Source organism: Homo sapiens, chromosome 15 (genome assembly GCF_000001405.40).
Source record: "Homo sapiens chromosome 15, GRCh38.p14 Primary Assembly".
NCBI lineage: Eukaryota > Metazoa > Chordata > Mammalia > Primates > Hominidae > Homo > Homo sapiens.
This window is the reverse complement of record NC_000015.10, coordinates 53,078,599-53,103,942: the sequence shown is the minus strand read 5'-3', so window position 1 is coordinate 53,103,942 and position 25,344 is coordinate 53,078,599. Positions and strand designations below refer to the sequence as shown.

The 25,344-nt window shown below is 37.4% G+C and overlaps 2 long non-coding RNA genes across 7 annotated transcripts in view; both read right to left on the bottom strand.

The window, feature by feature from the left end:
* The window catches only part of LOC107983981 (uncharacterized), a 417,903-nt gene that overhangs the window by 117,712 nt on the left and 274,847 nt on the right, over positions 1 to 25,344 (bottom strand). The gene's annotated exons all lie outside the window — the stretch shown is intronic.
* Positions 85 to 21,103, bottom strand: LOC105370823 (uncharacterized). Of its 2 annotated transcripts, XR_932261.3 has the most exons (4): positions 20,873 to 21,103; positions 3,100 to 3,213; positions 2,149 to 2,425; positions 85 to 406 (listed from the first exon to the last, which is right to left on the bottom strand). It is a non-coding gene; the product is annotated as an uncharacterized LOC105370823 (long non-coding RNA). The 2 variants fall into 2 exon arrangements; XR_932262.3 differs by lacking the exons at positions 85 to 406; positions 20,873 to 21,103 and adding an exon at positions 14,975 to 15,086 and having other exon boundaries at positions 2,295 to 2,425.

Here is a 25,344-nt window from a genome sequence, read left to right as displayed (position 1 = left end):
CATCTAATTTTTGTATTTTTAGTACAGACGGGGTTTCACCATGTTGGTCAGGCTAGTCTCAAATTCCTGACCTCAGGGGATCCACCCCCCTCAGCCTCCCAAGGTGCTGAGATTACACGCGTGAGCCACCACGCCCAGCCCAATTTTCTAGTTACCATTGCTTTGCAGACAAAATGCAGATAGGCCCATCCAGGAGTTTAGAATCTCTCAATAGGTCTCAAAGCCTTCTTAGCTCATTGCTTACCAATCTCCTGCATAGCCTCCTTGTCCTAATTCTTCCATCACCTTCCCCCTTCATCATCCTCCTCATTCATCCATTTATCATTCAGTCCCTGTAAGAGATCTTAATGTTTGGAAGAAACCAGCTTTGTAAAGGAAGAGTAGAAATCCCCTGTGTAGGGCAATGCTGTCAGTTAAAAACAAAACAGATTTCATTATTTAAAAAACAATCAAAGTTTTAAAGTTGTTTCAATAAAGTTATAAATTATGACCATTATAATCACTGGGATTTTTATTTTGCTGTGTCTCTTGACCTCAAAAAAAAGTTTTAAGGAAGATAAGATTTATTTGGTCAAAACATTTGACATTTACTTCATTACTCAGTGCACTAAATTCTCTCTAAATAAATTCCATAGTGATCTGACTTTCCCCATGAAAATCTGCACAGTGAACTCCTAGTTTATTATGCCTACTTGAAAAGGGTAATTTAATAAGGCATCAGTACAAATACTTAATCGTGAATGGCTATCGACAATGCCTTTAAACAGTTGCATATTTGCCAGATTTAGCTAATGGAAGTAGAATTGCCACTTAATGTCTCAGCTTGCACTGGTGGAAAATAAATTGTATCTGACATTCCTTTGGCTTTTAAAGGACATACTTAGATAATATTTACAGTCAAATTGATCTATTGTTGCATTTATGTTTTCTTGGGTTTAAAAAAGGGATCAAATGGGTTCTAAAGGATAATATTTCTTTGCATCTGCTCAGTTTGGAATGCTTTTGCACAGACATGCCTCATTTAGTGGGTGTCTAACCAAGGTCTAAATATCTGAATGGGAAGTAGACATTTCAACCAGGCATACAGTTGTTTTAGCTCCATCTCAGAGACTCGGGTGTGTGGAAGATCAGCTGGTCAGTGAGCAGTGAGCAGGGCTGTTCACTTTTCATGGAGGTCATATAGACAGAACTTGCTTTATTAAGCCACCTGCTACATGCTGTGACCAGGAAGAAGAAAGAGGTCATAGAAGAGAACCAATATTTCAACATCCAATACTTGCCAGGCACTCTTCCAAGTATACTATGTTACCTCATTCACTCCTGAAAACAAAACAATGAGTTATAGTATTATTATCTTAGTATTTTTCTTTAGGCTTCTATTTCTGTGAAACTCAAAAGCAGGCAAGTCGTATCATTATTGATGGTGTTAAAAATCAGGAGCATGTTTACCTTAGAAGGTGGTAACTGGAAGCTAGCACAGGGGACTGCTTGGGTACACTGGTCAGAGTGCTGGCTACGTTGTTGTGTTTATGGATGCATGTGTTGCATTAGTCTGCTCAGGCTGCCATCACAAAATATCATAGACTGGGTGGCTTAAACAACAATATTTATTTTCTCATAGTTCTAGAGGCTTCAGATTCCAAGATCCATGAGTAAGTATGGTTAGCTTCTAGTGCGAGCTCTCTTTCTGGCTTGCAGGTGTCTGCCTTCTATGTTCTCATGAGAGATAAAGAGAGAAAGACAGACAGAGAGAGAGAGAGAGATTCTCTTCTTATAAGGCCACCAGTCCTATTGGATTAGGACCCCACTCTTACAATCTCATATAAATTTAACTATCTCCTAAAAGCCCTGTCTCCAAACATGGTCACATTGGGAGTTAGAGCTTCCACATACATATTTTGTGGGAAGACAATTTGGTCCATAACGTCTGTCTAACTCAAACTGCTATCAAGATAGAAAACATGATCATCATCCTAGAAAGTTGCCTTTTCTCACCCGCAGAGATGGTCACTGTTCTAATTTTTTGCACCATAGGTTGGTTGTAACTGTTCTAGAACTCCACATGAATGGAATCATGCAGTAGGTACTCTTTTATATAAAGCTTCTTTTACTCAATATGTTTTCAAGACTCATCTGTGTTGCACATACCAGTAGTTTGTTCCTTTTTTATTCCTGAGGAGTATCCCCTTGTATGCATATACCACATTTTGTTGATCTGTTCTCTTATTAATGGACATATGGGTCATTTCCAGCTTGGGGTTATTGTGAATATGGTTTCCATAAACATTCTTGTATGAGTCTTTTAGTAGACGTGTTTTTATTTCTCCTGGATAAATACATAGAAGTGGAATTGCTGGGCCTTAAAGCAGGTATAGGGTATTATTATCTTGATTTCAGCATGATATGTGATGGTTTTTCATATATCCTTGTGATAAAGAAAAAGAAGTTCGAGATTATGAGAGCAGAGTTAGGAGAAATTATATCTGAACAAATGTATTTTCTCAAAGTATTAATCAGAATCAAAATCAGCCAGAAAAGAGATCTTTAATGATATGCTCTGGGACCTAGGCCTACCCCTTGTAATCAATATTTTTATAGTAACTTAGATAAAGACTCACATTAGACATGCTCAATAAATCTTTAACAGACTTAAAGGACTTGTTGATTCTATCAGTGCCATAACCATAGTGTTCCCTGATCATGCCATGGACCCTCACCCACTATCTTTTGCACAGTCCTTCTCCTCCCTGAAAAAGGCCCTTCCTGAGAGCTGAGGTAACTATAAGTGCAATGTGGGTCATCACTCTGGCATGGCAAATTTTCAAAAATACCTAATGCATATTTAGAATTGTAAGAAATACATCAAAGTTGCTAATAGTCTCTCTGGTTTCTACATCAAGCCACATCTACAATGTTGTGTTCAATTTGGGACACCTCACCCTACAAGAAACATTAGCAAGTTACGGTGCATCTGGAGGAGAAAGAACATCCAGAATAAAAAGGCTTCCTCAACAAGGATAAATTAAAAGACCCTCCCTCCAACCCCAGCACCACCCCATGGAGCCCAAGTTTTGCTCCACCAGACCCAGTTTGCTCTACCTGAGAAGAAACCTTTGCAGACCTCTGGAATTTTTAAGTCCTACCCATGCCTCCCCTCGCCAGTCTTGTTTCCATTATCCTTGGCATGCACAACTTAGACATATGGTACAAATCCTAAGGAAGAGTAGGGAGAAATAGGAAGGACATTCAATGATTGTAGGAATTTACTATACTTACGAAAAAAATGTAATTAATTGAATGTAAAGTTTTGTTTACTTGACTTTGGAAAAAATAATTGTAATTAAATGTTCCCTATATTATAATTCTGTAAGAGATAAATGAGTTAATGCTTATGAAAGCAATTTTAAAACAGACATAAGGGATTGTTGACTCTATCAGTGCCATAACCATAGTGTTCCCTGATCATGCCATGGGCTCTCACCCACTATCCCATGCACAGTTTTTCCCCTCCCTGAAAAATGCCCGGCCTGAGAGCTGAGGTAACTATAAGTGCAATGTGGGCCATCACTCTAACATAGCAAATTTTCAAAAAGACCTAATGCATATTTAGAATTGTAGGAAATACATCAAAGTTGCTGGTCTGTCTGGTTTCTACATCAAGCCACATTTAATTCTATGATGAGGCATCAAAATGCAAGGAAAAAAAATCAGAAAAGGCATTTTAAGAATGTCTTTGGAGAGAATATCCACAATGGAGAGATGAATCTGAAATTTTCTTAATAAATTTACTTCACCAGCCCTAACTCATGGAGTCCAATATTAGTCCTTACAAACCATTCACTATTGTGTTCACAGGCCAAGAGCTAAGTGAGAAGAGTTAAGCTGGTCTTGCTTTGGACCCTCATAGACTCAAATTTTGGTTTTGGTCTAACACTGAGGATTTGAATTGAAATTGTTCTTATTTCAGCCTTGTATTTGGGATTACATTTCCCCTAGATGCCCAACCAGTCTTCACCAAGGCTTAAAAGAAGTAAAGGAAGCTAGCAGATCTTTCTCTACACTATCACAGACAGGAACATCCTTCACTCCTCTCACCCCCATATAACTAGAATAATAATGAGGAAGACATGAGATATAAAGGCCAAAGGCCATTCTTTTCAGGTCATTGCAAGAATATGTAAAATGTGTACCTAGGAGTAGATGTGTTACATGGTTTCACATCCTATATCCTCAATTAAACAGCAAAAATTTACATTTACAAAAGAACTGATCAACCTAGAGTTAAAAGGCCATCTCAACAAAAGGCTTTGATATGGCATTTCAAATTTAACTATATTCTAGAGAATGCCTCTGAATTGGTTAGCTCAACTATTCCAATTTACTCATTATGTAGTAATGAACCAGTGCCTTAGATTCACCACCATATCTGCCCACAATTTTCAGAATACTCAGGGGAGCCACACAGCTCATCTAATTCTGATGAGGCATCTCACCTAAAACATGCCCCTGGACACCAAGGGATATCAAAGAGGACTCAACAAAGTTAATTACTATTCCTAACAAATCAGCTCATAGTACCCATCTAACCTGGTGGAAGATCTAAAACTTGAGGATCTCATATGCAGTTTTATTGATTTGTGTACCAAAATTGACAGAATAGCACATGGCCTATATTAACTTATTCACTCATTCTACAAACACTTTTTGTTAAAGAGATGAAGTCTCATATGTTTCCCAGGCTGAATACAGTGGCTATTCACAGGTGCAACCTCAAACTCCTGGGCTCAAGCAATCCTCCTGCCTCAGTCTCCCAAGTGACTAGAACTACAGGCACTATACAAATACTTTTTGAGTACTGACAATGTGCCAATACATGTTGTGCTAGACCCTGACTGTACATTTTCTAGCCAATTAGGACAAATCTTTGAGTAGCTAATTGGATACCCTTTACTGTTAATCCAATTTTATTTTAGGAACAAGTTGGAGGATTCTTTTGTTTGCAAGATAATGCACTTAAATACTTCAGAAAAGGGGAGATTAAATGTATATGGGTCTGAAACTGACAAGTTGTTGAGAACTGAGGTGGCTCTGCAGACCAGCAATTCTTGCCATTTTTCATTGGCAATATGATCCTCTGATGCTTCATAAATATGATGCATTCCCCTGTCTTTGTTGGTCAGGTTCCTTTCCTTACTCGTAGTTCTTGCTCCCTCACAATTTTGGTGTCTGACCATTTTGCCACAATCATGATGTCAACTTTGTTATGGTTAGGAGCTACATTTCTCAGAACATCCTTTCCTGTATGGGTCTAAGTTAGAGTTGATGAAAAGATGAACTTGCATGGCCAGGTTGCATACCTACATTGTGGCTTTATAAATTACAACAACAATAATAATAGTAATAATGACCAAGCCACTTTAAGAATCCAGATTTTAGTGAAAAAATAAGCTTTTACTATAAGATCAAAAACAAAACAAGGATGCTCACTCTTGCCACTTTTATTCAACATAGTACTGGAAGCTCAAGCCAGAGCAATTAGACAAGAGAAAAAAAAATGACATCCAAATAGCAAAAGAAGAAATTAAATTGTCTTTGTTTGCGGAAGACATGATCTTATATATAGAAAACTCTAAAGACTCCACCAGAAAAGTGTTAGAACTAATGCATTTGGTAAGGTTATAGAATACCAAATCAACATACAAAAATCAGTTGTATTTTAATACATTAAGAATGAACTATCCAAAAAAGAAATCAAGAAAACCATTTTATTTACAATAGCTACCACAAAATACTTAGAAATAAATTTACCCAAGGAGGTGAAAGATCTCTACACTGAAAACTATAAAACATTGATAAATGAAATTAAAGAAGACATAATAAGTAGAGAGACATCCCATGTTCATGGATTGGAAGAATTAATATTGTTAAAATGCACATACTACCCAAAGCTATCTTTAGTAAAGCAATCCCTATCAAAGCTCCAAAGTTCCTATGACGTATTACGCAGAAATAGAAAAAACAAAAATTTTTATGGAAGCACAAAAGACCCAGATACACAAAGCAATCTTGAGGAAAAAAACAAAGCTGGAGGCATCACACTACCTGATTTAAAAAACCTACTACAAAGCTATAGGAATCAAAACAGCATGGTACTGGCATGAAGACAGACACACAGATGAACAGAAAACAATACAGAGCTCAGAAATAAATCTACATATTTATGATCAATTGATTTCCAACAAAGGTAACAAAAACACACAATGGGGAATGGACAGCCTCTTCAATAAACGCCACTAAAAAACTGGATTTCCACATGCAAAAAAATAAAATTAGACCCTCATCTCACATCATATACAAAAATCAACTCAAAAAGAATTAAATACTTAAACATAATACCAGAAACCAGAAGAAAACATAGAGGAAAGGCTCCATGACATTTATCTGGGAGATAATTTTTTGGCTGTGAACCCGAACTCACAGGCAACAAAAGCAAAAATACACTAGTGGGATTACATCAAACTAAATAGCTTCTGCATTGCAAAGGAAACAGTCAACAGTGAGCAGACAACCTACAGAATGGAGAATGTATTTTTGCAAACCATACATCTAATAAGGGGTTAATATACAAAATGTATAAGGAACTCAAACAAATCAATAGTAAGAAAACCATTCAATTAAAAGTGGGCAAAGGACCTGAATAGACATTTCTGAAAAGAAGACATACAAATGGCCAATGGGACCAGTCATGCATTGTTTAATAATGGGGATACATTCTAAGAAATGTATTGTTAGGTGATTTAGTCATTGTGTAAATATTATAGAGTGTTTACACAAATCTAGATGGTATAGCCTATCACACACCTAGGCAATATGGTATACACTATTGCTCCTAGTTTATAAACCTGTACAGCATGGTACTATACTGAATACTTTAGAGACTGTAACACAGTGGTATTTGTGTATCTAAACATATCTAAATATAGAAAAAGTGCATTAAGAAAACAGTACAAAATATGTTTTAATGATATACCTGTATAGAACACTTACCATGAATAAGTTGCTCTAGGTGGGTCAGTGACTGAGTGGTAAATGAATGTGAAGGTCTAGAACATTACTGTATACTACTATAGACTTTATAAACACTGTGCACTTAGGCTACACTAAATTTATTTATTTATTTTATTTTATTTTTTGAGACAGAGTCTCACTTTGTCGCCCAGGCTGAAATGCAGTAGTGAGATTTCAGCTCATTGCAACCTTCACCTCCAGGGTTCAAATGATTCTTGTGCCTCAGGCTCCCAAGTAACTGGGTTCACAGGTGTGTCACCAGGTTCAGCTATTTTTTCCTTCTTTTGTTTTTTGTATTTTTTTAGTAGAGACAGAGTTTCACCATGTTGGCCAGGCTGGTCTCGATCTCCTGGCCTCAAGTGAGTTGACTACCTCGGCCTCCCAAAGTAATGCCTGCTAGGATTACAGGCATCAGCCACTGCGCCCAAATTTATTTTTTAAACATTTTTCTTTCTTCAAAAATAAGTTAACTTTAGCTTACCATAGCTTTTTTATAAAATTTAATTTTTTAACTTTGACTCTTTTGTAATAACAGTTTAAAACATGAACACATTGTACAGGTGTAAAAATATTTTCTTTCTTTATATCTTCATTCTATAAGCATTTTTAATTTTCTTACTTTTTAAACTTTTTTGCTAAAACCTAAGACAAAAACACCCACATTAGCCTAGACCTACATAGGGTTAGGCTCATCAATATCATCATCTTCCACCTCCACATCTTGTCCCACTGGAAGGTCTTCAGGGAAAATAACATGTTTGTAGCTGTCACTAATGATAACAATGCCTTCTTATGGACTACCTCTTGAAGGACCTGCCTGAGACTGTTTTAATAGCTAACTTTTTTTTTCTATAAGTAGAAGGAATACACTCTAAAATAACAATAAAAGTATAGTAAATACATAAACATAGTTTTTATTATCATTATCAATAATATCAACTAATTGATCAACAATTATCAAATAATAGTTTTAATAATAGATAATCGTTTTTGTTATCATTATCAAATATTGTGTGCTATCTATAATTATATGTGCTATGCTTTTATATGACTGACAGTGCAGTGGGTTGTTTACAACAGCATCACCCCAAACACACGAGTAATATGTTGCACTATTATGTCACTAGGAATTTTTTAGTTCCATTATAATCTTATGGAACCACTATTGTATATGCAGTCCTTTGTTGACAGAAATATCATTATGTGGCACATGACTTTATATGGAAAAATAGTTCAACATATATAATCATTAGAGAAATGTAAATCAAAACTACAATGTGATGTAACCTCACACTTGTCCAGATGGCCATTATCAAAAAGTCAAGAGGCCAGGTACAGTGACTCACACCTGTAATCCTAGCACTTTGGGAGGCCAAGGTGGGATGATTGCTTGAGCCCAGGAATTTGAGACTGACTGGGCAACATAGCGAAACCTCATTTCTAAAAAAACTTAAAATAATTAACCAAGTGTGGTGGCATGTGCCTGTAGTCCCAGCTACTTGAGATGCTGAGGCAGGAAGATCACTTGAGCCCAGGTGTTCAAAGCTGCAGTGAGCTGTGATAGTGCCACTGCACTCCAGCCTAGGTGACAGTGAGACCCTGCCTCAAAAAAAATTTTTTTTAAGTCAAAAGATATCAAATGTTGGTGAGAATGTGGAGAAAAGGGAATCCTTGCACACTATTAGTGGGAATATAAATTAGTATATCTATTATGGAAAACAGTGCAGCACTTCTAAAAAAAATTAAAAATAGAACTACCATGTGATCAAGCAACCCCATATTTGGGTAGATAGCCAAAGGAATTGAAATCTGTATGTCAAAGAGATAGCTGCACTTCCATGTTTGTTGCAGCACTATTCACAATAGCCAAGACATGAAATCAACCTAAGTGTCCATTATCACATGAATGGATAAAGAAAATGTGGCATGTATGCACAGTGGAAAACTATTTAGCCTCAAAAAAGAAGGAAATCCTGTCATTTGGGGCAATATAGATGAACCTAGAGGACATTATGTTACATGAAATAAGCCAAGCGCAGAAAGACAGATACCACAAGATCTCACTCATATATAGAGTGTAAAAAAGTTGAACTCATAGAAACAGAGAGTAAAATGATGATTTCCAGAGACTGAGGGTGGAGAGATTGAGAAGATGTTGGTCAAACAAACAGAAAAATTTCAGTTAGACAGAAGGAATAAGTTCAAGAGATCTATTGTACATCATAATGGCTACAGTTAATAACAATATAGTGTGTATTTGAAAATTACCAAGAGAGTAGATTTTAAGTATTCTTACCGCAATAAATAAGTATGTGAAGTAATGCATGTATTAAATAGCCTGATTTGGCCATTCCACACTATCTACATATATAAAAACAACATGTTGTACACCATAAATATATACAATTTTTACTTGTCAAATAAATATAAAAAGTATTTTTAAAAAACCAGCAATCTAGACTATGCAGTAGAGAAATAAGGCACAAGGAGAGAAAATCAGCTAAACACAGACCCAGACAGCAAAGAAAAATGCCAACCAAGAGTAAGTTAGGTGTGTCTTGAGATGGGAAATTCAAAGTCACTTGAAAAAGAGAGACAACCCAAACTTTTCATGTTTTCTCTTCCTCAAGTCTGCCCTAATGCCAAGGCTTATGGAAAAAGAATTAAGACAACTTGAGTTCTCAAAATCAAGAGAAGGGAATAAAGGGCATTCCTGGCCACTGGGAACAAACTGGATGGCCTTTCTTCAGAAATGGAGGAAAACTACCTAAAACAATATTGTTTTTTACTGTGAAAAAATGATTAGCAGTGAATTTATACAAAAGTTCTAAAAGTATTTTTAGAACTCTTGTTTTTGCAATGACTCTGTGTCTCTTTTTCAACTTAAAATTAATATTTTGTAGAAAATGATGCAGATGAATGGATCAGTACTTTGGCCCTGCTTCTTCTCATCTGGACCTTAAGGGCATCAGTGTATTTTAGCTCAAGAATTCAGATGCCACAGTTCACCTAGTGGCAGGCAACCATAGCAGAATGTTTAATTCACTCCTATGGAGTGAGATTCCACCTTTGAAAACAACAAATTTTACAAAAATGAAGTACTATAGCCAGAGCATACAACAGCCTAGCAGACTTGACTTTGGCTAAATTTATTATTTTTCAAAATTATGTGCAATTAATAACTGAAGGTGAAAATTGATTGTTTACATATCTCAAAAAAAAGCTTCTTAAAACATTTTTTATCTTCATATTATATTATCCCTCTAGATTTGCAGACAGGATAAATTTTATCCTTAGTATGCTAAAGGGCATTTTTAAAATTCAATAATATTCCAGAAGAATCAAAAGTGCCAAGTGTTTACATAATTGAGTTGAACAACTGTTATTAAATCAGTGGCAAAGGTTATCTTTTCTGATAGTAAGTAGTTTGGATAAGTAGTAAAACTATTTCAAATTCCCATGGAGTCTCCACCAATAGTTAAACTTCCATTCCTGTAACTACGAAACGCCCAAGGGGATGATAACAATTTTCTCTTTCTCCTCCTGTTTTTTAAAAAACTAATAATAAAAAAAAACACAACAAGAAGTAATGAAAATCTACAGAATGAGGTCCCATGTACACACTCTAAGAAGGCAGGGTTTATGAGGATTTTCTTATTCCAATTGGGGATTGTTTAAAGTGGTGGATTCTATTGTAACCCATATGGGAGAGAGACAGGTTTAGAGTAACGAAATTTCATCCTAATTCAGAAAATCAGAACATGAAACAAGCAGGTCAGCAAAACCTGATGTTGGCTAAGGAAGAATAAAAGAAACAAATGAAGATAAATTCATGTGTTAGGCCAAGTTTGTGCTGTCAAAATAAATAGGTGAGAACAATTCTGGGGTACCAATATTGTGAGTAATGAACACAATCATGATAATTTAAATCAAACTTTTTTGCCTCTCAGGTTCAAGTGATTCTCATGCCTCAGCGTCCTGAGTAGCTGGAATTACAGGTGCCCACCACTAAGCCCAGGTAACTTTTGTATTTTTAGTAAAGACAAGGTTTCACCACGTTGGCCAGGCTGGTCTCAAACTCCTGACCTCAAATGATCCACCCCCCTTGGCCTCCCAAAGTGCTGAGATTACATAAATCAATCATTTTTTAACGTGAATTTCTTTTAATCAGCCAACTGGACTAACTCTTCTATCACAAATTCACAGAGTAACCTAGCCATGAGGGTCACTTGGGATCATCTACTTCATTCTTTTCATTTTGCAAAGATGAAACTATGACCCGAGAAAGACAAGTAGTATCCCCAAGTTTTCCCAGCTACTGATGAGCAGACTGGGCCTAGAACTAGTCTTCTAGGCTAATGCTCTTTACACTATACTCCAGATCCTCTTTCCCAAAGAGAAACAGCTACCAACAGTTACTGAAGACTTACTATGTGCCAACAACTACTCCAAGGGCTTTCCGAGGATTTACTCTTTTAATACTCACAATAATGAGTTAGTTCTGTTACTATTCCCATTTTACAAATGGAGAAACTGAGATTTAGATTAAGTAATTTACCCAATGATACACAGCTACACTGGCAGAGTTAAAATAAATATTTTTTGCATATTCTAAATATGAATTGTGAACCCTAAATATGAGTTATATATACCTGGACAATTCTGACAAGATTGGTAGACATTTAGGCTTTTTCCAGTTTGAAATTCTTATCAGTAATGCTGCTATGAACATTCTTGTGCAAGCTTTTGTATGGACATATGTTTTCAATTCTCTTGGGTATACACCTAGGAACAGTACTGAGTCATGTAATAGTTTTATATTTAACTTTTTAAGAAAATGTCTAACTTACCACAAATGCAAACTGTAACCACAATGGATGCATAATTTTACATTCCCACCAACAATGTATGAGGGTTCTTATTTCTCATCCTCACCAACATTTGTTATTTTCTTCTTATTTTTATAGCCATTCTATTGAGTGTGAATCATTTCCCTAATGATTAATAATGCTGAGCATCTTTTCATGTGCATCCTAGACATTCATACATGTTCTTTGATGAAATGTCTGTTCATATATTTTGTCCATTTTTGTTTGGGCTGTTTGTCTTATTTTTGAGCACTATGATTTTTTATAAATTCTGGATACAAATCCTTTATGTGTTTTGCAGATATGTGTTTTGCAAATATTTTCTCCTGATTTATTTCTTGTCTTTTCATATTGTTAATAGCATTTTTTAAAGGAGAAAATTTTTAATTTAATGAGGTCAAGTTTATCCATTTTTTATGAACAGTGCTTTTGGTGTCATATCTAAGAAATCTTTGCCTATCTGAAGGACACAAAGATATTTTTTCTATGTTTTCTTCCAAAGATTTTATTGTTTTAGCTCTTACTTTAAGTTCGTGATGCATTTTGAGTTCATTTTTGTATATGGCATGTATAAGGTGAGGGTCTAAGTTCACTTTCACACATATGGATATCCCATTGTCCCATCACCATTTGTTGAGGAGACTTTTTCCCAGTGAATTGCATTGACACCTTTGTAAAACAAACAAACAAAAAAGTCTAAATTCTAAATACAGGATTTATTTCTGGATTCACAATATGTTCCATTGGTCTACATCTATCCTTATCCAGTATCATACTGTCTTAATAACTGCAGCATTAGGGTGAGTTTTGAAATTGGGAAGTGAAAATCCTACAAGTTATCCTTTTTTTCAAATTTGTTTTAGCTATTCTAGGTGGTTTACATTTCCACATAAATCTTAGAATCTGCTCATCAATAGGCATAGAGTTAAAACAGATTGCTTTTAAAGCACTCAAGTCACCAAAAGTCTTGGTATAGCCTTCTTCCATGACAATAAGGCCTTACCTGATCTGTAGTTACTTCACTAAAAAGACCATAAAAAGTAGTCTTAAAACAAGGAAGTTCAAGTTTAAGGTGATTTTTGCTCCTGTCTAATCCAACAATAAGGAAAGATTTCTCAAACAAAAATTAACATACACACTCTCATATATACAAAAATGTAAATCACTGATACAGCACCCACTGCAGTAGAATATGTGCAAAGTGTATGTGCTGAAGCACAAGTATCAACACAGAGTAAGGACTCTGTAAGTAAAAGGTATTGTTGCTACCTTTTTAGTAGATGTATCTACTCCCCTCACACCTGCCCTCCTCAATTTTTAATTTTGTACCTACTCTTAGAGCTGCACTATCCAGTAGGGTAGCCACTAGCCACAAATAGGTATTTGAATTCATATTAACTAGTTAAATACAATTAAAAAGTCGGATCATAAGTCACACTGGCCACATTTTAGGGTGCTCAACAGTTCCATATAGATGGCAGTCACACTGTCAGACAGTGTAGACACGATTTATTTTGGAAAGTTCCATTTGATGCTGCTGGTTTACAGAATTATTTCTGGTATGTTCACTAACTTTTATGAACATAAATAAAAGCTATGTGAATAGCAGTAGAAGTTAGAGGTTTCATGGATTAAAATACGCTCATGTATTATCTCCAGCCTAGGTGACAGAGCAAGGCTCCATTAGAAAATGAAGAAGGAAGAAGGAAGAAGGAAGAAGAAGAAGAAGAAGAAGAAGAAGAAGAAGAAGAAGAAGAAGAAGAAGAAGAAGAAGAAGAAGAAGAAGGTCACATCTTGTCAGTTATTGATATATTTTTTTTTAATTTAGCTTAAGTGTTTGTTCAAGGGCTTGTATCAAAAAGGTTGCATGGTGGTCTATGCAAATTCTAACCAAGAATTTAATATCCTGCCAAACTAAGCTTCATAAGCAAAGGATAAATAAAATTTTTTCCAGACAAGTAAGTGCTAAGAGAATTTGTTACCACTAGACCAGTGTTGCAAGAGATCTTCAAGGGAATTCTATACATGGAAACTAAAGAGTGATTCCTGCTACCACATAAACACATTTTTTTTTTTTTGAGATGGAGTCTTGCTCTGTCATCCACGCTGGAGTCCACAGACCCTATAAAGCAACTACACAATAGAGAATAAAAAACAAACAGCTAACAACATCACAATAGGATCAAAACCTCATATATCAATATTAAACTTGAGTGTAAAGAGTCTAAACACCCCATTTAAAAGGCACAGAGTGGCAAGTTCGATAAAAAAAAAAAAACAAAAAAGAAGACTCAACAGTCTGCTGTCTTCAAGAGATCCATTTCACATGTAATGACAGCCATAGGCTCAAAGTAAAAAGATAGAGAAAGATCTATCCCACAAATGGAAAACCAAAAAGAGCAGGGGTTGCTATTCTTATATCAGATACTGTAGACTTTAAACCAACCACAGTAAAAAAGAATAAAGAAAGGCATATATAATGATAAAGAGTTCAATTCAACAAGAAGACTTAACTACCCTAATTATATGTGCACTCAACATTGGAGCACCCAGATTCATAAAACAAGTACTTCTGGACCTTCAGAAAGACTGAAACAGCCACACACTAATAGTGGGTGACTTCAACACCTCACTAACAGCGCTAGACAAATCATTAAGGCAGAAAACTAACAAAGAACATTCTGGACATAAATTGGACACTTAACCAATTGGACCTAATAGACATCTATAGATTACTCCACTCAGCAATCACAGATTATACATTCTTCTCAACTGTATATAGAACATACTCCAAGATTGACTAAATGCTCAGCAATAAGGAAAGGCTTAACAAATTCAAAAAAAATACAATAATATCAAGTATACTTTTGGACCACAGGAGAATAAAAATAGAAATCAATACCAAGAGGTTCTGTCAAAACCACACAGTTATACAGAAATTAAACAACTTGCTCCTGAATGACTTCTTGGTAAACAATAAAATTAAGGCAGAAATCAAAAATTTATTTGAAATAAATGATAACAGAGATATAACTCACCAAAATCTCTAGGATGCAGCAAAAGCAGTGTTAGAAGGAATGCTTGTAGTACTAAATGTCTACATCAAAAAGTTGAGGTCAGGCGTGTTGGCTCACATTTGTAATCCCAGCACTTTGGGAGGCCGAGGCAGGCAGATCACTTGAGATCAGGAGTTCAAGACCAGACTGGCCAACGTGGTGAAACCCCCTCTCTACTAAAAATACAAAAAAGTTAGCCAGATATGGTGGCACACACCTGTAATTTTAGCTACTCAGGAGGTTGAGATGGGAGGATTGCTTGAACCCAGGAGGTGGAGGTTGCAGTGAGCTGAGATTGCACCACTGTACTCCAGTGTAGGTGACAGAGCAAGGCTCCATTAGAAAAAGAAGAAGGAAGAAGAAGAAGAAGAAGGAGAAGAAGGAGACAAAGGAGAAGAGAAGAAGAAGAAGAACAAGAACAAGAACAAGAAGAAGGAGAAGGAGAAGAAGGAGAAGGAGGAGGAGGAGGAGGAGAACAACAACAACAACAACTAAGAAGTGAGAAAGATTTCAAATGAACAATCTAACATCACACCTAGACAAAGTAGAAAATCGAGAACAAACTTACCCAAAAAGCTAGCAGAAGGAAAGAAATAACTAAAATCAGAGCAGGATGGAACAAAATTGAAACCAAAAAAATCTATATAAGGGATCAATAAAACCAAAAGCTGGTTCTCTGACAGGACAAACAAGATTGATAGACCACTAGCTATTTTAACAAAGAAAAAAAGAAAAAAGGCCTGAATAAGCACAATCAGACATGACCAAGGTGACACCACAACCAATCCCACAGAAATACAAAACACCCTCAGAGACTATTATGAAAGCTTCTGTGCACACAAACTAAAAAATCTAGAATAAGTGAATACATTCCTGAAAACACACAACCTCTTAAGATGGAATCAGGAAGAAACTGAAACCCTGAACAGACCAATAACACGTTCTGAAATTAAATCAGTAATATAAACCTACCAACCAAAAAAAAAAAAAAAAAGTCTCAGACCCGATGGATTCACAGCCAAATTCTACCAGGCATACAAATAACTGGTACCAATTCGACTGAAACTATTCCAAAAAATTGAGGAGGAGGGACCTCTCCATAACTCATTCTACAAAACCAACATCACCATGGTAACAAAACTTGGCCAAGATACAACAAAATAAGAAAACACCAGGCCAAGATACCTGATGAACATAGACACAAAAAAAACCTCAACAAAATACTTGTAAATCAGCAGCACATCAAAAACTAATTCACCATGATCAAGTAGGTTTTATTCCTGGGATGCAAGTGTGGCTCAACAATTGCAAATTAATAAATGTGACTCACCATAAATACAGAATTAAAAACAAAAACTATATGATCATCTCAATAGACACGGAAAAAGTGTTCAATAAAATTCAACATCCTTTAATGATAAAAACTCTCAACAAACTAAGCATCGAAAGGAGTACCTCAAAATAAGAGCCGTGTGTAACAAACCCACAGCCAACTCATACTGAATGGACAAAAGATGGAATCCTTCCCCTGAGAAATAGAACAAGACAAGCATGCCCACTGTCACTGCTCCTACTCAACATAGGGTTGCAAGTCCTGGCCACAGCAAGCAGACAGAAGAAGGAAATAAAAGGCATACAAATAGGAAAAGAAGAAGTTAAATTGTGTCTCTTCACCAATTATAAGATTCTATACCCAGAAAAGCTAAAGACTCTGCCAAAAGGCTCCCAGAGCTGATAAATGGCTTTAGTAAAGTTTCAGGATGCAAAACCAATGTACAAAAATCAGTAGTATTTCCATATACAAATAACATTCAAGCAAGAGCCAAATCAAGAACACAGTTCCATTTACAATAGCCATATTAAAAAAATACCTAGGAATATATCAAACCAGGTAGGTAAAAGATCTCTACAAGGATAACTACAAAATACTGCTGAAAGAAACCATAGAGAACACAATCAAATGGAAAAGTATCTCATGCTCATGGATTGGAAGAATCAACCTTGTTAAAATGGTCATACTGTCCAAAGCAACATACAGATTCAATGCTCTTCCTATCAAACTACAAATACTATTTACTACTTAACTAGAAAAAAACTGTTCTAAAATTCATATGAAACCAAAATGAGCCCAAATAGCCAAAGCAATCCTAAGCCAAAATAACAAAGCTAGAGGCATCATATTACCTGACTTCAAATTATACTGTAAGGCTACAGTAACCAAAACAGCATGGTACTGGTATGAAACAGACACATAGAGTAATGGAACAGAATAGAGAAGCCAGAAAGAAAGCTACACACCTTCAGCCATCTGATCTTCAACAAAATTGACAAAAATAAGCGATGGAGAAAGGACTCAATAAATGGTGCTGGAATAACTGGCTATCCATATGCAGAAGAATGAAACTGGATCCCTACCTTTCTCCATACAAAAAAAAAATAACTCAAGATAAATTAAAAACTTAAATGTAAGACCTCAAACTATAAGAATCCTAGAAGAAAACACAGGAAATACCCTTCTCAGTGTCAGTCTTGGTGAAGATTTATGGCTAAGTCCTCAAAAGCAATTGCAATAAAAACAAAAATTGACAAGTGGGGCCTAATTAAACTAAAGAGCTTCTGCACAGCAAAAGAAACTATCAACAGATTAAACAGACGACCTACAGAATGGGAGAAAATATTTACAAACGATGCATCTGACAAAATCTAATATCTAGACTCTATAAGGAACTCAAACAAATTAACAAGCAAAAACCAAATAACCCCATTAAAAAGTGGGCAAAGGACATGAACAGACACTTCTCGAAAGAAGACACACATGCAGCCAACAAGCATATGGAAAAGTGCACATCATTAGTAATTACCAGAGAAATGGAAGTCAAAACCACAATGAGATACTATCTCACACCAGTGAGAATGGCTATTATTTCAAAGTGAAGGAAAAAAAAAGATGCTGTCAAGGCTGTAGAGAAAAGGGAACACTTACACACTGTTGGTGGGAATGTAAACTAGTTCAGCCACTGTGGAAAGCAGTTTGGAGATTTCTCAAAAAAAAAAAAAAAACTAAAAATACAACTACGATTTGACCTAGCAATCCCATTAATGGGTACGTACCAGAAGGAAAATAAATTATTTACTGGAAAGACACATGCATCCCTATGTTCATTGCAGCACTATGCACAATAGCAAAGACATGGAATCAACCTAGATGCCCATCAGTGGTGGACTGGATAAGGAAAATGTGGTACATATACACCACGGAATACTATACAGCCATAAAAAAGAATAAAATTATTACTTTTGGCCAGGTGCAGTGGCTCATGCCTGCAATCCCGGCACATTGGGATGCCGAGGTGCGCAGATCTCTTGAGGCCAGGAGTTTGAGACCAGCCTGGCCAACATGGTGAATCCCCATCTCTACTTAAAATACACACATTAGCCAGGTGTGGTGGCTCATGCCTGTAATCCCAGCTACTCAAGAGGCTGAGGCAGGAGAATCTCTTGAACCCAGGAGGCAGAGGTTGCAGTGAGCCAAGATCGCACCATTGTACTCCAGCCTGGGCAACAGAGTGAGAGTCTGTCAAAAAAAAAATTAAATATATACGACCTTTGCAGCAACATGGATGCAGCTAGAGGCCATTATCCCAAGCAAATTCATGCAGGAAAAGAAAACCAAATACCTCATGTTCTCACAAGTGAGAGCTAAACACTGGGTACACATGAACATATAAGGATGTGAACAATAGACACTGAGGGTTACTGGGACCAGGTGGAAAGAGTGGGCACAGGGGCTGAAAAACTACCTTCTGGGTACTGTGCTCACCACCTGGGTGATGGAATCATTCACACCCCACACCTCAGCATCATGTGATATACCCATGTAACAAGCTTGCACGTGTACCCCTTAATCTAAAATAAAAGTTGAATTATTTTTAAAAAGAAAAGAAAATACCATTGTTAAATTTCACTGATGATACAAAATAGAGATTTTCTGAAGTTTCTCTCTTTTTATTTCTTATTGCTCTGCTTATTGAGGACATAATCACCCTGCTCCCAGTTATTTTTTGGTTCAGAACATGCACTTTGGAGTTAGAAATTGGCTCAGATTTCCATCCTGCTACTTACTTGAATAAGCTCTTTAATCTCAGAGGGCTTCTGTTTACTTACATGTGATGTGTGCATAATTCTCAGATTTTAGGGTTGTTATAAGAATGATTATTATGTCAAGTGCTTGGCACACAGTTTGTGCTCAATAAGTGCTAGCTAGCTAGCTATTATGTTACTAGATCACGTTTATAATAATTTACTCAATTTGTCCATTCTTAAGACATAAGAATATATACTTGTCTAGACTTACGAGTTGAAAAAGGAGCCTGGCAGGGACATTGCTGGATTCTATTTGCATGTCTCAGGCCCAGATGAGGGGATGAGGGAAAATTTTTAAATCCTGAAATGTTACTGTGTTAAGATCAGCAGGCCAATTTTCAGTGAAAAGAAGAAAGAAAGCTATACTTCATCACTAGGTCAAAAAGTCTTCTTTGCTTGTGGAGGCAGCTTGAAGGTCATTGAGTCCCTACCTCCCCACCCTCATTATCTGCCCTCGTTAGAGCCCTCAAGAAGTACCACTGCTTGCTCCCCACCCCAGCAGGGCCAACTACAACTGGATGTACATATGACAGTCCACAGTATCTCCACTCTGTGTGAATGTGGGACATCATACCTTTCCCCCATGATGTTCTTGAGATCAAGACCCCAAACCACTGCCTAAGCCCACCTTCCCTTGCAGCCTCTGCCACCCTGAGATGCATATTCCAGTGGTGAGCTAGAGAAGGTCCCTTCCAATTGTTTCCCCAGACAACTGCAGATTAATCATCCTTCCCAACAATCCAGTAATGCGGACATGAAGAAACTCCTTCAAGTCTCTGGTCTTTCCTTTCCTTTCAATTCTGCTATTAACACCCTGCTCCCCTCTTTCCTGACCATTTTTAGAATTCTTAGGCCATGACCATGGGAATTTGGGATGCGAAGAGTTAAATAACAGACTCGTATTTCCATCTTAAACAGCTTGCTTTTTAGTCATAATTTTACAAGAGTGGTATCTGGAAAAAAAAGAGATAAATAATGACATTGATATTGATCTTGTTTATGGGAACTTCAGCCCAAAAAGTTAATTGTGGCTACATCATTATGTAGCATTGCCTTTGCTTCAGTCAAAAATAATAATAATAATAATAATAATGTCCAAATTCTGCTTGGGGGAAGTTGTTTCCCTAAAACAAGTTATCCACTTACAGAGTCATGGTTGGTTAAAAGCCAATACAGGGTAAACTAACTACAGTTTTTATCCTCTTTTCAGCATGTATGTGGATGTCTAAAAGCAAGGCATTGAGATGAACTGGTCAGCACCAGGGGGAACAGAATCAGCTTTCTCCACAGCCAAACTAGGCTGTCCAGCAATATGTTCTAGTAAACATTTGGTTTGAACTGATCTGCTCTGTCATAAAGCAAGAGGTTTCCAGCTGATATGTTTACTGATCTGGTGAATTATGCTCATATAAACAAGAGAAACACCATGGAGAGATACTGCTGTGGCTACCTCCTTACATACACAACCTGCCTGCGACTACTGAGCATGCCCTGCCCAGACCTCCTCTGTCTTTTATCAGAGAATGAAAGAGGTAGGCATGAGAAGGAAAGAGAAGAGGGAGATTTTACAAAGTGAGCCTGAAAAAGAAAAGGGCCTGGCAGAGAGGGGGCAGAGACAGAGGACCAGGGTGGGGGCTAAATGTGAAGGCAGCATCTGCAGAGATCAGACATGCCCTTGGAGAACCCTTCTTATTCCTGATCCATCCTTCCAGAGCTTCCTCTACAGGGCAAACTCACTTATTTCCATGGAAGCCCAAAGAGTCTTGATTCCTTTTAAAGCAAGTAAAAGTAGGCTAGTTGCTGGTTCTAAGTGGCTGAATTCTGACCATTCTGTCAGTGAGACAGGCAACCCCAGCTCCATCAACCATGTATCTGCCTTCTGAAAGTATTTCAGTAGATGCCACAAAGTCAACACTGAGTGCAGGATGACCCAGGGCAAGAACAGGGCAGGGGCACAGGTAGCTCCATATTGATCTGGGCTCAGCCTCAGCCTAAATTGAGTTTTCTCTTGTGACATCACAAAACAAGGTAGCAAAACCCAGTGATAAAATACTTTGCCAAAGCTCAGGTGTGGTCCTTCAGGCATCCGCTCAGATCCTAGAGATACATACAGAAAGGAGCATGGGATTGAGAGTCAGAGCTCCACAGGCCAAGGCCACTCTCCGTTTCCTTTGAGATACACATGGTATCCAGAGAGCTTCTCAAGTCATAAATAAATGACAAAGCTCAGGATTCATGCCCCATTGCTCTGTTTCAAAATTCCAATTGAAGATGTTTAGACATGTAGAGCCATAATACTCTAGTACAGTGTAACATAACTGAGTGAAAACCCTGGTTTCGGTGGGACTAGTTGAAACAGAATCTGGTTAAACCGAGCAAATGTATTCAAATCCAAATATTAAGAAGCATGACACTCAAGAGAAAATATTTTCCATCAACAGTGGCGTTTCATCGTAAGTGGACTTAACTCAAATTATCCTACATGAGCTAGAGAGAGAAAAAATTATATAAATGGTGCCATGCTGCTCAAACACAGGTCCTATTTGGGAATTACATGGGAGATGAAAACACAGTGTTTCCTCAGTTGGTTAGTCCCAGTCATCCTCTCCTGGCAGGACAAGCTTGCCCCATTTTTTTTTCTTTTTTTTTTTTTTTTTTTTTTTTTTTTTGAGACAGTCTGGCTCTGTCACCCAGGCTGGAGTGCAGTGGTGTGATCTCTGCTCACTGCAACCTCTGTCTCCCAGGTTCAAGCAATTCTCATGACTCAGCCTCCCAAGAAGCTGGGATTACAGGTGTGCTCCACCACTCCCAGCTAATTTTTAAATTTTAAATAGAGAGGGGGTTTTGTCATGTTGGCCAGGTGGGTCTTGAACTTCTGGCTTCAAATGATCCACCTGCCTTGGCCTCCCAAAGTGCTGGGATTACAGGCATGAACCAACATGCCTGTCCAATGTTGCTGCTTCTGTGGATGATTTCAGGGCCATTCAGTGATAATTTCAATCAATCACAATTGCTACCCCATATGCAGACCACACCTAAACTCATGCAATAGGGTTTGGATGAATAGAGATGGTTCAGCACAGTTTATTGCAAGGCCTCTCAAACTTTTATGAGACTGTCAGGCACTCGGAGATCTTGTTAAAATGCAGATTCTGCCTCAGTAGGTCTGGGGCAGGGCCCCAAATCCTGCATTTCTAACAAACTCCCAGGTGGAATTGATGCTACTGGACCACAAACCACACTTTGAGTACAATAACTTATGATATGGGTTTAGATATATAACATTCAACATACAGCAAATATATTTACTGAGCATCTGCTGTGTGCCAAACACTGTGGTATTCCCTGATGACAGAAACATGAGACACTGATCCTTATTATCTATGTATTCACAGACTGGTTTGATATGAGTAACAAACCATGTACCGCATGAAATAGAAGTCTTCCCCAAAAAAAGGCATACTTTAAAATAACCATTACCCCTAATATGAGTATAGTGCTTTATCACTTGCGAAGTAATTTTTTTTAAAATTTTGTCCCATTTAATGCCTCTCAGGATCTCACCTTCCCCTCAGTTGCAAAATGTTACAATTTAGTTTTTACACTGGCCTCACTACATACATACTCCCAGTAATGAGAATGAGTTCCTTACCACCCCATTTCGTGGGTCATTGAATACTAAAACTGAATTAAATAAAACCTACTCAGTGATGTATCTACTGCATGTGCACAAGTGTGTGATCTAGCAAAGAAAGCAAATTTTGATTTTTCATAACCTATGCAGAGTAGTAGAAAATCCAGGAGGACATCTCTCTTTTTCTAGTACGGAGTCTTCTGCTGACTGGCTGTGTAACCACATGCAAGTTAGTTAACCTCCAAGGACCTCAATTTCCTCATCTTTAAGGAAGGAGCTGGACCAGGTGACCTCTAGGTCTTTTCCAGCTCTATACTCCTATAATTCTATGACCCACCCACCTTGAATTTGCTATAATCTGTGTTTTAGATCCCAAAGACAGATCTTTTCAACAGCATCAGCACAACCACACCTCCCCCTGAGCCTCAGCTACACTGGTTCACACAGCAAAGCTTTGAAATTCCCAAATACTGTAAGCTTACGCTTGCCAGTGCCACGCAGAGCTGCTACTTCACAATTCAAGTAGTCAGCTATTGACTTGTGGCAATCTATATCTGCATTAAAATGGGGAGTTTTGGATTAATGTGGAGCTGAAAGCCCGACTGAGGCTCTTTGCTGCCAGCCTGTCTCTGTAATTGCAGCATGGATTTCACCAACCACAAAGGGCAAAATGAATGTGATCATCCCCAGTAGTCGATAGTCCATCGATTTTTTTCTTTTGACTCTATGATTTGCACAAATATTGAAGCTCATTTTTTAAGCAAGGAGGCTTATTAATCTACATTCTTCAAAACTAGTGGCCCTTCAATGAGGTGAATTCTGAAGGTTACTGAATATGCAAGACATGAGTAGATTAGTCACATTAATTTTTTAAATTGTTTTCCACATACACATGCACAAACACACCCATGTCCTCACTCTTATTTAAAATTGACATTCCACGTAGATGTTAGAACTTTGTGCTTGTTATCATGCCATTATGTGTCTGGTTGTTTAGGAATGATTAGGAAGGAAATGTTGGCAAAGCTCATTCTGGTCTGTGGTCGCTGTTTTCTTGGTTAGGTTTTGTTTTTCACTCACCCCTAAGGTTGTAAACAGAATGTGTACAACAACACCTGTGGTTCCTAAGATGGACCACTGATCCAGGGCCATTTCTTCCCTGAATGGAGGCTACTAATCTGCAGGAACAAATACATGTTAAGGCAGAGAAACAAAGGCAGCTCCTGCAGAGTTCAATTGTGGTTGCCCCAAACTATACTAGTTCTTTTAATTTCTTGTAATGTATCTTCTATTTTATGTTGTTTCTGGTTGTTATTCCTCTGAACATTCCTTTAGTCTATTACAGCCTTAATTTTGCTGCAAATTCAGACTCTGAGTGGTTTGAAACCTCATGTCTCATATTTGGTTTTGTGCGATTTGCTGTAAAATGTAGTAGGCTTCTCTTTTCCAATAGCTCTACCTTTTGAAAATAATCAATAATGATAAAATTGGTCATCAAATCCCATTAGCTTTTTTCCTCAGGAAAATTTCCCAAAGCTGGACCCTATTCTAAACTCCAACTTCAAATGTACTGTTTTGGTTGCAAGGAATTAAATTTCACTTGGTTTGCTTCAGGTAAAGAAGATCTTGGGGATAAGGAGACGTGTAGGTATATAAAGATGATAAGAATCTTGACCAAGTAGATGTGGCCACACAGTAAGGCTCAAAATGATCAGAACTTGCTTGGGGAAGTTGAAGTTTATTCAGGATCCAATACAACTCTAGTGACCAAGGTATCTTGCCAGCAGGCGTTTATCAATCACAGCATACATTCTCCCATAGAGTGTGTCTGCTTAGCTCTGTATCTTTGGCTTTCCTTCTAACTTCTGACTATTTAACCCTTTCTGTATTTCTCATGTTCAAATAAACCAAGTCACCAGATCCAATTGTTCAACCATCCCCACTGGCCATCACTTTTGTGCCAAACCATCCCATTGTCCACTAGTAAGTCTATAGATGAGCTATTCTTAGGTTAAGCACTCATTCTTGATTCCATAAATAACAGCCCACATCAACACAATGATTTATGTGGAAGAAGGACCTTTAAAACTTATGTTTCAAGGGTAGCAGGAACTCTTTAAAAGGGAAATATAGGCAAGGCAGCATATTGAGGTTTGGGCTATCCATCTTGCCTGTGGCCTCAGCTGAGTTCAAGCCCACCTACTTAAAGCTTTACAATATCTTCCTTACTGGGACCTCAATGCCTAAAGCCTATCCCATTTAACCCATTCTCAATAGTGATAATGACCTTGGGAAAGTCTCTAACATCACTGAGCTTTAGTTTTCTCATCTATCTCACCTAGGAAATGGGTGTAATCATTGAGAAGATTTGAAGAGAGACTGCATGTGAAGTACTTGGTCATTTTATCACCGTTCTATGAACATTCTATCCTGGTTCTAAAGATTATATTTGTTTATAAGGATACCTTTCCCATAAGAATGTGGGCTCCTTGAGATCAGGGACTAAGTCTTATTTACCTCTTCAATGCCTCATCCCTGGACCATGATGAATGAAGGCATCGTTTACACTTCAGAG